The 14296-nt window shown below is 43.3% G+C and overlaps 1 protein-coding gene across 8 annotated transcripts in view; it reads left to right on the forward strand.

Annotated features, from left to right (window-relative positions):
- MGST2 (microsomal glutathione S-transferase 2) overlaps nt 1-14296 on the forward strand; it is an 88800-nt gene that overhangs the window by 4238 nt on the left and 70266 nt on the right. For 7 of the 8 annotated variants that reach the window (XM_017008211.3, XM_047415701.1, NM_001204366.2 and 4 more), the window contains exon 2: nt 8487-8586. The exons of the other annotated variant lie outside the window; for it this stretch is intronic. In XM_017008211.3, coding sequence (XP_016863700.1) covers nt 8487-8586 — 100 coding nt within the window. The remainder of the gene's footprint in view (nt 1-8486; nt 8587-14296) is intronic. 8 annotated transcript variants of the gene reach the window in all.

Raw genomic sequence — 14296 nt, forward strand, 5'->3', positions numbered from 1 at the left:
CAGGCAATTGTGTTTGTCTTAGGGGGTCTGGTTTCTAGGTAGATAAGGGAGTTTCAGAGGACTGCCCAGCTGCATCCTGTGCCTTGGTAGAGACCACAGGTTGAGACAGGAGGCAGTGGAGAGGTCACAAAGACCTTGAGGCAGCTTCTTTAGTTCAGTCATATTTTGAGGTGTAATATTCTGATTTCCTTCGGTGGGGGGCGGGGGGGGGGCGGTTAACAGAAATACCAAACTCTGTGAAATCTTTTAAAGAGGTTTATTCTGAGCCAATATGAGTGACCATGGCTCGGAGAAAACACAAACCCAAGAAGCCTTCAGTGGGTGGTCCCAAGGCAATTGGGTTACAGTTTGGTTTTATACATTTTAAGGAGGCAGGAATTATAGGCAAAGACATAAATCAATACATGGAAGGTATCTATTGGTTCGGCCCCAAAAGGTGGGATATCTTAAAGCCAGGGGGCTTACAGATTATAAGTGGACTCAGAGATTCTCAGATTTGCAGTTGTTAAAGGAGTAAAGCTTTGTTTAAAGACTTGAATTCAGCACAAAGAAATGCTTACATTAAGAGAAGGGGTGGCCAGGTGTGGTGGTTCATGCCTTTAATCAAGCACTTTGGGTGACCAAGGTGGGTAGATCACTTAAGCCCAGGAGTTCAAGACCAGCCTGGGCAACATGATGAAATGCTGTCTCTATTAAAAATACAAAAAATTAGCTGAGTGTTGTGGCACTCACCTGTAATCCCAGCCACTTGGGAGGCTGAGGTGTGAGAATTGCTTGAGTCCATGGGTTGCAGTGAGCCGAGATCATGCCACTGCACTCCAGACTGGGTGAGAGTGAGACCCTATCTCAAAAAAAAAAAAAAAAAGATAAAGAGGTCATGTGATGCTATACCAGAGTCAGTTGGAAAGTAAGCCACATACTGGGTTAATTTAAAAGAACTGGCCTAATGAGATTTGATGGTTTGTAGGGCGTGACTTAACCCTTGCCTTGTAAGGCCTTAGGTCTTGTCTACAATTTGATGTCTTCTTGCTGCAGCCGGCTTTGTTAGTCTTATGATCCCCATTTTAACCTTAATCCTGGGCAGTTGTGCCTAAACTCCAAAAGGGAGGGGGCACAACCAGGTGTGTCCTACCTCCCTTCCCCTCACGGCAGGGAATTCAGTTTTTCAGGTCTCTCTGGGGTTCCCTCGGCCAAGAGTGGGTCTGTTCAGTTGTTTGGGGGTTAGGATTTCATTTTTGGTTTCTCCTCAGCACATGTGTATCTCTGGAGAAAGCTAGGGAAAGAGGAAAGACAGGCAAAGCAAAAGGAGATTATTATCTAGAGGTTTTAATCAACTCATAAGGGAAATAAAGTTGAAACTCTACAGAAAAGGAGGTGAAATAGCACCCCACTGTCATCATATATTCATCATATATACGTATATATATTTTCAGACCTACTGCTCTGTCGCCCGGGCTGGAGTGCAGTGGTGTGATCTCAGCTCAACTGCAGCCTCTGCCTCCCAAGGTCAAGCAATTCTCCTGCCTCAGCCTCCCGAGTAGCTGGGACTACAGGTGCGCCACCATGCCCGGCTAATTTTTGTTGTTGTTCTTTTTGTTTTTTTGAGAGGGAGTCTCACTCTGTGGCCCAGGCTGGAGTGCAGTGGTGTGATCTCGGCTCACTGCAACCTCTGCCTCCCAGGTTCAAGTGATTCTCCCGGCTCAGCCTCCTGAGTATCTGGGACTACAGGCACACGACACTGCACCTGGCTAATTTTTGTATTTTTAGTAGAGATGGGGTTTCACCGTGTGGGCCAGGCTGGTCTTGATCACCTGACCTCAAGTGATCCACCCGCCTCAACCTCCCAAAGTGCTGGGATTACAGGCACGAACTACCGCACCTGGCCCCACTCTCATCATATTATTCCAAAAATAGCCATGGTCTCTCTGAGGCCCCTCACCTGAGAGAACAGAAGGGCTTCTATCCCTTGGGGCTGGAGGTGAGCCCAGCTGAATCCTCTTTCTTGGGGCTGGACTGGGAGTAGGTGGGATATCTCAGTACCTCTTCCATTTACTGAAGCTCATTCCTCACACTTGCTAGTGTCACAAACAGATGCCCATTGGGTGCAATTAACGTAAGAAAAGATAGCACTTTTAAGGCTTGCTTACTCCCAGCCTCATTTTGAAGCTCTAGGCTCCTGTGCATTACTAATTCATAAGTCTAGGAGCACATACCTTTCATTATTTCCATTTTATAGGTGGAAACAAGAAGACTTGCCAAGTATTTTCTGCAAGGCTGTGAAGCATGTTAGAAGCAATGGTAATAGCAGGTGCAGAGTGGCCAAGTCCTCATTTCCCCCTCAATGGACAAATCCCTTTAGCTGAGCCCATGAGTCATTGGCCTTTCCAGATTGATGCTGCCCTGGAGGGATGGAGCCCAGGGTTGGAGACAGTCAGGGCCCATCTGTACATTCCTTCTCCTCACTCTGCTCTCTCAGGCTGCAGTATGAATGAGAAAACTCCAATCCCAAGCATTTACACACTTTTTTTTTTTTTTTTGACTCGGAGTACAGTGGTGCGATCTCAGCTCACTGCAACCTCCGCCTCCTGGGTTTCAGCAAATCTCCTGTCTCAGCCTCCTGAGTAGCTGGGACTACAGGTGTGCACCACCAAACTCAGCTAATTTTTGTATTTTTAGTAGAGACGGGGTTTCACCATGTTGGCCGGGCTTGTCTCAAACTCCTGACCTCAAGTGATCCACTAGCCTCAGCCTCCCAAAGTGTTGGGATTACAGGCGTGAGCTACTACTGGGCCCGGACAGCATTTACACACTTTAGATATTCAGTGACAATGTTTAAATCCTAAACAACAGCTTATTTGTAGCAGAAGGGGATTAGTGGAAGGGAAGAGCCTGCTTTGAGAGCCCTTGCTACACCAGGATCAATATTGACTTCTTGTGAGAGGGGGAGATCATATCCTGTTCCAGTAGGAAACACATTGCCTCTAATACTCTTAACACAGGGAGAGACCCAAACTATACACTTGGTGTGGAATTTTAAAAGGAAACATTTTTAAAATATTAGCAGGTAGGAAACAGATATTGAGGTACTAAAACAAGTCAGACAAGGAGATAGTGGGGGAGACAACTGGTAAGGAGCTAAAACTGAAATAAATAATGTGAAGCGAAATAATAGTTACTGTAACCCAACTGAACGTGGGTCCATTCACCCAGCATACAGAAACAAACACAAGCACCAGGATTTGCAGTGACAGAAAGGGAAGCATTGATTGCAGGGTGCCAAGCAAGGAGAACTGGGCAGCTAATGCTTAAGACCCTAACTCCCCAATGGCTTTCAGGCAAGGGTTTTAAAATTTTATTTATTTTATTGTTATTTGAAACAGGGTCTTGCTCTGTCACCCAGGCTGGAGTGCATTGATCCTGGCTCACTGCAGCCTTGTCCTCCCAGGCTCAAGCGATCCTGCCTACTCAGCCTCCTAAGTAGCTGGAACTACAGGCGTGCACCATCACCACACCTGGTTAATTTTTGTATTTTTATTTTCTAGACATGGGTTCTCACTATGTTGTCCAGGCTGGTCTCAAACTCCTGGGCTCAAGCAGTCCTCCTGCCTCGGCCTCCCAGAATGCTGGAATTACAGGTGTGAACCACCATGCCTAAATGGGTTTTTAAAATTTGAGATAGGGTCACACCATGTTGCCCAGGCTGGTCTTGAACTCCTAGTCTCAAGTGATCCTCCCACCTTGGCCTCCTGAAATTCTGGATTACAGGAGTGAGCCAACAGACTTGGCCCAAGCAAGGGTTTTTAAAGGCAGGGGTATATTTCAGGAAAGCAGAAGGTATAGGAAAGATAATAAATCAATACATGGAGGTTATACCTTGGTTTGGCCTCAAAAGGCAGGATATCTTGACACAGGGGCTTACAGGCCACAGGTGGATTCAGAGATTCTTTGGTTTGCAGTTGGTTAAGGGAGCAAGGCTTTGTCTAAAAACTTGGGTCAGCAGAAAGAAATATTAAGGTTCTAAGCTAAAAAGTATCTGAGACAATTTAGAAAATTTATTTTGCCAGGGTTAAGGACATGCCCGTGACACAGCCTCAGGGGCTCCTGACAACATGTGCCCAAGGTGGTCAGGGCACAGCCTGGTTTTATACATTTTAGGGAGACATGAGACATCAATTCATTTATGTCAGATGTACATTGGTTCAGTCCGGAAAGGCGAGACAACTCAAAGTCTATATCCAGGTCATAGGTAGATAGGAGACATTCTTTTGAGTTTCTGATTAGCCTTTTACTGAATCAAAGGAAGCAATCAGATATGTATTTGTCTCAAGTGAGCAGAGGAATCACTTTGAGTTCTGTCTGTCCTTTGTCCACAAGGAATTTCCTTGTGGGTAAATTGTGAGGGAGCTATGTAGTTTTTTTTTTTTTTCTTTTTTTATCTGGTGTCTAGGCAAAGTGGCTCACTTCTGTAATCCCAGCACTTTTGGAGGCTAAGGCGGGTAGATCACTTGAGGTCAGGAGTTCAAGACCAGCCTGGCCAACATGGTGAAACCCCATCTCTGCTAAAAATACAAAAAACTAGCTGGGCATGGTGGCACATGCCTGTAATCCCAGCTACTCAGGAGGTTGAGGCAGGAGAATTGCTTGAACCCAGGAGGTGAAGGTTGCAGTGAGCTGAGATCATGCCACTGCACTCCAGCCTGGGTGACAGAATGAGACTCTGTCTCTTAAAAAAACAAAATCTTTATAGCTATCTTATTTAGGTATAGAATGGGAGGCAGGTTTGTCCAATGCAGTTCCCAGCTTGACTTTTCCCTTTGGCTTAGTGATTTGGGGGTCCTAAGATTTATTTTCCTTTCATGAGGTTTAACCCGTGTGTGTGATTCTCTGCAGGCCCCTCAGGAAGAAATTTAGAACAGGGAATGGTGGTCAGAATTCAGTCCTCAGTTCCCGCTTAGCTGAGGTCTGTGTGACAGTGGTCAGCATTTTCCATCTGGTGGAGGTCCTGGTTTCTGAGAAACAACTCAAGAACTTATGTGAAGACGTTGTCTTTAGTTTCTATAGGGAACCGAACGTCTTGTAACTCTGTCTTATTTGGGTGACTATTATTTAAACTATTATTATCTTCTCGCTTAGCGGGACTGAAGGATAGCAAGGTGCTTGGAATTTCCCTTGAAGGAACTCAAGAGTTTTTATTTCCGTGCTTGAGGTGGCTAGCAGGTCCCTAAGAGTGTTCCTTGCTCTGTCTCCATGCCAGAAGTTTATTATGGGGTGAAAAGAGGAAGTTAAGGACAGGAGGCAAGACCTACTGAAGGCTCAAAAACTGACAGAGGAGGAAGTATGGATGTGGAAGTGAAAGAAGTCCACAGAGCTCATCACAAGATGAAGGTGGTCCCAGGCATCAGAGTTGATTATCTAATGAAATAAAGGAGAAGAAAGTCATACTGTTTTATAACAGGGAAACGTCGGCAGGTAGGAGCCATCATCCCCAAAGTTTTCTTGTACCTGCTGGGCAAGGTGTCAGAGCCCTGGCAATGGAAAGTGATTGGCCCACAGGGAGTAAGAATTTACCGACAACAATATAGGTTTGAAAAGGAAAGTTTTATTAGATTGAGAGAAAGCTGCAGAAGAGTGCAGCGGGCTGCCTCAGCGAGAGGACTGAGCGCGCCGGGGAGGATTTTCCTTAGGGGTATTTATGGACCTTAAAGCAAGAGCTTAGGGGTAATTTGGTCCATATTAGCCACATATGTCATGATAAATGATTACATTTGTAGACATTTTGGTGTCGTAATGTCAGCAAGGGTTGCACAATGAGTTTTGTCATGCATGCATTCCGGAGATGTATAGAGGTAGAGAAAGTCTAGTTACATATAAATTTTGGGGAAAGAAGCCTGGAACCGGCCTTAGATATAGGGAAGATCAATTATTTCTAAACTCCTCAGATAAGGAGTTCTGCCTCTGGATGGTCGGCTTCATGGCCACCAGGTGGTCTTTGCTCTCTTTAGTGGCCCCTCCCTCCTGGCCTCCTCATCTCCAGGCAATCTTTATGTCACTATAGATTCATTTGCATTTTGAGAATTTTATATAAGTGAAATTATTCAGTAGTACTCTTTTTTAAAATCCTTGCTTTCATTCAGCATAATTATTTTGAGATTCACTCATTTTTGGGGGGTATCAATAGTTTATTCCTTTTTCTTATTGTTAAGTAGTATCCCATTGTATGGCTCTATCATGATTTATTTATCTACTCACCTGTTGATGGATACTCTTGTGAGTCAGGGTTCTCCAGAGAAACAGAATCAATACACACACTCACACATAGACACACACACGGAGAATTATTTTAAGGAATTGGCTCACACAGTTGTGGGGGCTGGCAAGTCTGAAATCTGCAGGAAAGGCTGGTAGGCAAAAGTTGATGTTACAATCTGGTGTTGAAGGCAGTCTGGAGGCAGAAGTCCTTTCTCTTTGGGGGACCTCAGTCTTACCTCCTAGGGCCTTCAACTGATTGGATGAGGCCCACCCACATTAAGGAGGGTAATCTGCTTTACTCCAAGTCAATTGATTTCAATATTAATCACATCTAAAAAAACACCTTCACAGCAACATTTAGGCTGGTGTTTGACCAAACAACTAGGCACCGTATGCTAGCCAAGCTGATGCATAAAATTAGCCATCACAGAGTTGTTCCTGTTACAAACAAAGCTGCTGTGAATATTTGTGTACAATTCTTTGTACTGAAGGAAATAAAAATATTTTACCCAAGATAGATTTCTTTGACAGATTTTCAAATGGCCCTGCAAAGCTGTTTTTTGTGGGGGAACTTTGCATTGTGGAGAATCTCCATGAATGCAGCAAGGCCTTCCCTTGTCCAGATCTGGGAGAGATTAATGGAGTCTGACACCTGTAAAGATCTGGAAGAAACACTTACCATCTATTTTCTCTAAGGGGCTGCTATCTGTGAGATTTCGTCTGTATAACATGACTCCCTTGGCTAGCTGAGCCTCCTCTTCTTCCCCTCCCATATCCTGTCTTGCCACTAAAACCTGACTTACCACCATAACCTGTTTTTTTGGCCATGTTCTGAGCCTGCATTGCTTCTGTGAACCCAAAATATCTGATAGGTCTCAACCAATTTAGAAAGTTTATTTTGTCAAGGTTAAGGACATGCCCGTGACATAAAAGGACATGCCCGTGACATAGCCTCAGGAGGTCCTGATGACATGTGCCCAAGATGGTCAGGGTACAACTTGCTTTTATACATTTCAGAGGGACATGAGACATCAATCAGTATGTGTAACATGTACATTGGTTTGGTCTAGGTAAGGCAGGACAAATCAAAGCAGGGGCTTCCAGGTCATAGATAGATAAGAGATAAAGGTTACATTCTTTTGAGTCCTTGATAAGCCTTTCACTGAATACACAATTTAGTCTGGCTCAGTGAATCTGCATTTTTTTTTTTTTTGAGACAGAGTTTCACTCTTGTTGTCCAGGCTGGAGTGCAATGGCATGATCTCGGCTCACTGCAACCTCTGTCTCCCAGGTTCAAGTGATTATCCTGCCTTAGCCTCCTGAGTAGCTGGGATTACAGGCATGCACCACCACGTCCAGCAAATTTTTTGTATTTTTAGTAGAGACAGGGTTTCTCCATGTTGGTCAGGCTGGTCTCGAACTCCCGACCTTGGGTAATCCACCCGTCTCAGCCTCCCAAAGTGCTGGGATTACAGGCGTGAGCCACCGTGATCGGCACATTTTTACATAAGCAATCAGATATGCGTTTGTCTCAGATGAGCAGAGGGTGACTTTCTGTCCAGCACCTGTGAAGATAAGCTTTTCCTTGTGGGCAAATTGTGCTTTGTAGCTATCTTATTTAGGAATTAAAATGGGAGGCAGGTTTGCCTGCTGGAGTTCTCAGCTTGACTTTTCCCTTGGCTTAGTGATTTTGGGGTCCTGAGATTTATTTTCCTTTCACATTTCTGTAGCCTCAAGATGGCATATGAACTTCTGTACCTCACTGTGGAGCGGGGTCTTTGTTCTGAAGGCTGCTATGTATACATATGAAATAAATGTGTGTGATCTTTCTTTTAATGTCTGTTAATTAATCTGCCTCATGTCAGTGATTTTCAGTGAACCTCCAGGGGGCCAAGGGCTTTGGCCCCTACAGTATGGACATACAATTTTGTTTCTCTTAGGGAAATACCTATGAATGGAATGACTGGGTTATACATTGGAGGTATGTCTAACTAAAAGACTCCCTTCCAAACTGTTTTTCAAAGTGGTTGTACCGTTTTACATTCCCACCAGCATTGTATGAAAGTTTCAGTTGCTCTCATATCCTCTCCTGTCTTTTTTAATTGCTATCATCTGTCTTTTTGATTTTAGACATTGTAATAGGTATGTAGTACTATCTAATTGTGATTTAAATTTGCATTCCACTAATGACTAATGACGTGCCCCATCTTTAACGCAACATTTCCCTTTACTTGCAGGTTATTTTGCTTTGCAAGTTGGAAAGGCAAGATTAAAATACAAAGTTACGCCCCCAGCAGTCACTGGGTCACCAGAGTTTGAGAGAGTATTTCGGGCACAGTAAGTAATGCTTCTTCCACCCTTCATGGATCTGTGCCTGCCATACAGACACAATTCCTGACTAGGGGAAAGGGATATGGAGAAGACCCTAAGTTCATGTGCAATATCTAGTTATAACAAGTCACTCTTCACAGCCAAGACCGTTCTCAGAATCCAGAAAGTTTGAAGGGTTCGGGGCATGAAGTCTCTGCCCACATCTATTACCAATTCAGCAGGGTATATTTACAGAAAAGGCTGGGATCTCAGGAGGGACTGCTGTGTCTCCCAAGGAGGGTCACTGGGTCAAAGAGGCCCCCTGGAGCCTTGTGAGACCACAATAGTCTGAAGTTGGATTCGTTATGCTACAATTTTCTATCTTATTTTTTCCTCCCTACTTCAAAACAGAGGTAGATCAGGATTAATCTTTTGCCAGTTTCTCTGTGAACCATTTCTTAAAATCAGAAACCTGTAAGAATGAGAAAGCTTGCCAGCTCACATGCATGCGCCATGTTTTTTGATCATCTTGTGCTCCTTGTTTTTTCAGACCCACACAAAATGTTCCACCATAAACACCGTGAACTTGCCTGCTGCAGGAATGCTAGGGCGTACTTTATATTTCATCCCCCAAAATACGTGCTTTAAGAAACATTTCATGCGTCACCACTGATATATCATTGGGTTCTTTTGTTACCATCTTGGGATTTTTCATTTATGTTTACAAGTGAGATTGGCCTACACTTTGCCTTTCTTGTCTGGTTCTTGTCTCATTTTGATACAGATGAACCTAGTGTCAAATGAGTTGGAGGAAGCATCCTGTTCTACTTTCTCAGATAATTTTAATAAGGTTGGAAGAGTGTGTTCCTTCAAGGTTGTGTAGAACTTGCCTTAAAATAATCTGGGCCTAATGTTTTTCTGGTGGGAAATTTTTAAATTATGGGATTTGCATTCTTTAATGATTATTGGACTAGGCAGGCTTTTTGTTACATCTTGAATCAATTTTGGTAGGCCTTGGTCCTTGAGATGATAACATTGGTCTCTTGATTATCCACTTGCTCCAAGGAGGGTTTTACAGACTACTCCCTAGGCTTGAAAGCGTGGGGTGAATACCACCGGGAGTACACGAGATAATTGTAAGAGGTGTGTAGACTTGGTTTTAAATAACATTGAACTACATGATGAGAAGTCATTCTCATTTCAATTATCTTTGAATCCTTATGGTTAAGTCAAGTGGAAAGTATTGGTTTGGAGCCAGCATGTCCCACACCTCAAAATTAATGTTTATTTTTATCAAAGTAATTTATGTACGTGATCTGAAGATAAAGTGGGATTACAGGTTTTATGACAACAAATAACTCTTCCTTGTCCCTACCTCCCCTCTCCCTCTATCCCTAGAGATAACCCTTTTTGATTACTACTTTGGGTATTTACTTCTGTATTTCTAAACATTATACTTTCACTGCTATTTATTGATTCACAAATTTTAGACATTGTCAGTTGGCTTCTTTTTATGGAAGAAATAATTTCATGCTCCTTTACTTCTTCTTTTCCTTACCTCATCCTTCCAGTAACATTATATCACTCTGTTAGGTTAAATCAATAGCCAATGTTTATAATTATTGTGATTAAGAAAATAATGTTGAAAGCAGGGCCTTATAGTATACTGTGGTTACATTTCCTTCTTGTGCAATTTTTTTTCCCTAGGGTTAATAATTGCTCTTTATTTCTTTGTTTGCTTAGTTTCATGCCCAAATCTTCTGCAGAACTGAAAATCTCCTTTCGTTACATTCAAATGCATTAGATAATCTAGTAATACATTTTTCTGTCTTGGAGTCATTTCTGCCTGAGTCCTCCACTTTTCGCTTCAAGTTGCGGGATGCTCTTGGTGCTTGCTGCACAGCTGCTATCCTGGGACTTCCTGTCACCATCCTAGAAATTTCCCTTATACTGTCCTGATTTGGATTTCCTGGACCTCCTGTTTTCCTGTTTATTGGTTTTCTCTCTCTTTTTAGTGGAGTGCACCCTTCAGAAGCTTCCTGAGAAAGGGTGAATGTTTGGTAAAGTTTTGAGACTTCACATATCTGAAAATGCACCTTTATCTTGCCTCACAGTTAAGGGATGGCTTGTTTAAATGCATTTCTGTATTAGAAATCCTTACCCTTAGAGTTTTTGAAAAAATTTGCTCCATGGCTTCCTAGTTCCCACTGATATTGTTGAGATGTTCTGTGCTATTCTGATTCTGGACCTTTTGTTTGGAAACTATGGAAGCTTCAGGATCTTGCCTGGCCTACTGTCCCGAGATGTTAATAGCATTGTGCTTGTTGAGAGGCTTTTTCTTCACTGTGCTCAACCCCAGGTGAGGCCTTTTCACAGCCTGAAAACTCATGTCCTTCTGTTTTAGAATTTTTTTTTTGTTTTGAGACAGGGTCTCAGTGTTGCCTTGGCTGAAGTACAGTGGCACAATCTCACCTCACTGCAGCCTTGACCTGCCAGCCTCAGGCAATCCTCCTACCTCTGCCTCCTGAGTATCTAGGACTACAGATCTGTGCTACAATGCCCTGCTAATATTTGTATTTTTTGGTAGAGATAAGGTTTCACCATGTTGCCCAGTCTGGTCTCAAACATCTGGGCTCAAGCAATCTGCCCACCTCAGCCTCCCAAAGTGCTGGGAATACAGGTGTTAGCCACTACTCCTGGCCCAGAATATTTTTTAATATTATTTCTTCCCCCAGATTTCCTCTCCTTCATTTTCTCTGTTCTTTCATTCTTAAAACGCATACTAGTTGTGTGTTAACCTCCAGGACTGATCCTCTAGTTTTCTTTTATCTTCAGGTTTTCATAATTTTGGATTTTTGTTCTTTCAGAGGAATTTCCTCAACTTCTAACTTTTTATCTGAAATTTGAGATATCATAATTTTAATTTCCAATAACTTATTTTTATTCTCTGATTGCTTTTTAGTTGTTGGTGCTGATGTTAAACCGTCACTTTTTTATTTCATTGATGTAGTTTATTCTCTTATATTTGAGGATTTTAATTATAATTTTAAAAATTCTCTGTAACATTTCTGTTTCTTCCAAGTATCTTTGTGTCTTTTTTGGCCTTTGTCTTTCATTTGTATTTATTATTTACCCATTAAGTATTTATTGAGCACTTCTGTGTACCGGGCATTGTTATAATAGCTTGGCCTAGATCCATGAACAAATCCCACAAAAATCCTTGCCCTCTTGGAGTTTGCTGAGGAAGCCAGAAAATAAACAATAAGCAGATGATATTATAAGAAAATAATATAAGCTGGGCATAGTAGCTCACACCTGTAATCCCAGGGACTCAGTAGGCCCAGGCGGGAGAACTGCTTGAGACCAGAAGTTCAAGAGCAGCCTGGGCAACATAGCAAGAGCCCCCTCTCTCTATTAAAAAAAAATTAAAAAATTAGCCACATGTGGGTACATACCTGCAGTCCTAGCTACTTGGGAGGCTGAGGTTGGAGGATTGGTTGAGCCCAGGAGTTCAAGGCTTCAGTGAGCTATGATCATGCCACTATACTCCAGCCTGGGCAACAGCGAAAGACCCCAACTCAAAATGAAAGAGAAAATCATATATTATGTTAGAAGGTAATTGGTGCTAAAAAAAAAAAAAACAAAAACAGAAAGGATAGCGTTGTAAGAGGGTATGGGATGGGTTCCTGGGGGGTAAGTTGGGTGGTCTGTGATATACAATAAAGCTATGGGTGTAGGTCCCGCTGAGAAGGTGGCATTTGTGAACATGTAGAGAAAGAGCTCTTGGGTCAGAGACAATAGTCAGAGAAAAGCCCTTAGCTGAGGATACACCCAGTGGGTTAGTCAGGAGGTTAGGGGGCTGCAGGGAGCCTGGCAGGGAGTGGGAGGAGGTCAACTCAGAGAGGTCATAGACGGCTGGGTCACACTGGGCCTTAAAGGCCACTGTAGGGGACTTTGGCTTTTCTCTGAGTGAAATGGAAAGTCATGACAGGGTTTTAAGCAAAAGAGTGACATGATCTTATATTTTAAAAGGAGAATCCTGTTTGCTTTGCTGAGAAGAGCCTGTATAGAGGCATTGGTAGAAGCAGAAAATGCATTTAGAATTCCAGGCAAGAGATGATGGTGGCTGTGTTGCAGAATTTTTGCTCCTTAGTTCAGCTAAAACTGGGTTCTTGTCACATGGCCAGGAAAGATTAGGCGTGCTGACACATTGAAGGGTGAGTAGAGCAGAATTTATTGGATGTAAAGGAAAAAAAGAAAAAAAAAAAAAGAAACTCAACAAAGCGGGAGGGGGTCCTACTCACAGGCCCCTGCCTCGCAGATTAATTCCAGGTCACCACCCACGAGCTGGAGACCAGGCTCCTCCCTCTGCACAAGGTTCGAACTTCCTGTGGCTCCACCCTGTTCCTCCAGTGAGCATGCAGGCTTTATTCAGAAAGAATCAGTTTGGAAAGGGCAGGCAAGCGGGGGCAGTTCTCCCTCAGGGTGGCAAGTTTCATCCTGGACCAGCAGTCCAGGCTTTCAGCCTTCAAGCTTTTTTAGACTTGAGGGTGGGGTTTCACCAGGGACCCTTGGCTGTCTCCTGTCTCTGTCAGCTAGAGCCAGGGAGATAGCAGTGAAATGATGGGAAGTGGTCAGGTTCTGGATATATTTTGAGGGTAGACTCATAGAATTTTCTGACATAATGAATGTGAAGTGTGAGAACAGTCAAGAATGATTCTTGGATTATTGGCCTGAGCATCCATCCCAAAGGATGGCCTTGCGATGATCTGAGATGGAGAAGGCTGCAGGAGAACTGGTTTTGGGGAAGTATTAGGAGGTTCTGTCTTGACATGTTGTGTTTGAGATGTGACTTAAGGAGAGGCCTTAAGCATTATGATCTACTAAGCTATTTGGATTGTTTATGATTGCATCATAAACTGACAAATACATTGTTGGTTACACCTCCAAGTAGAGAGGCAGCTGGATAAACAAATCTGCATTTTAGGAGAGAGAGCTGAGCTGGAAATATAAATTCAGGGGTCATTGGCACAGGAAGATGATTTACAGCCATGAGACTGGATAAAATCACTTAGGGGAGTGTGTGTAGGTGTATTAGTCCGTTTTCACACTGCTGATAAAGACATACCCGAGACTGAGCAATTTACAAAACAAAGAGGTTTAATTGGACTTACAGTTCCATGTGGTTGGGGAAGCCTCACAGTCATGGAGAAAGGCAAGTCACATTTTACATGGATGGCAGCAGGCAAAAAATGAGAGAGCTTGTGCAGGGGAATGCCTCTTTTAAAAACCATCAGTTTTGTGTTTTTTTTTTTTTTTTTTTTTTTGAGATGGAGTCTCACCCTGTCACCCAGGCTGGAGTGCAGTGGCCACAATCTTGGCTCACTGCAACCTCCGCCTCCCAGGTTCAAGCAATTCTTGTGCCTCAGCCTCCTGCGTACTGGGACTACAGGTGCCTGCCACCATGCCTAGCTAATTTTTTGTATTTTTAATGGAGACAGGGTTTCACCATGTTGACTGGGCTGGTCTTGAATGCCTAAACTCAGGTGATCTGACTGCCTTGGCCTCCCAAAGTGCTGGGATTACAGGTATGAACCACCGTACCCGGCCTAAAACCATCAGATCTTGTGAGACATATTCACTGTCACAAGAATAGCATGGGAAAGACTTGCCTCCATGATTCAATTACCTCCCACCAGGTCCCTCCTACAACACGTGGGAATTCAAGATGAGACTG

This window comes from Homo sapiens, chromosome 4 (genome assembly GCF_000001405.40).
Source record: "Homo sapiens chromosome 4, GRCh38.p14 Primary Assembly".
Lineage (NCBI taxonomy): Eukaryota > Metazoa > Chordata > Mammalia > Primates > Hominidae > Homo > Homo sapiens.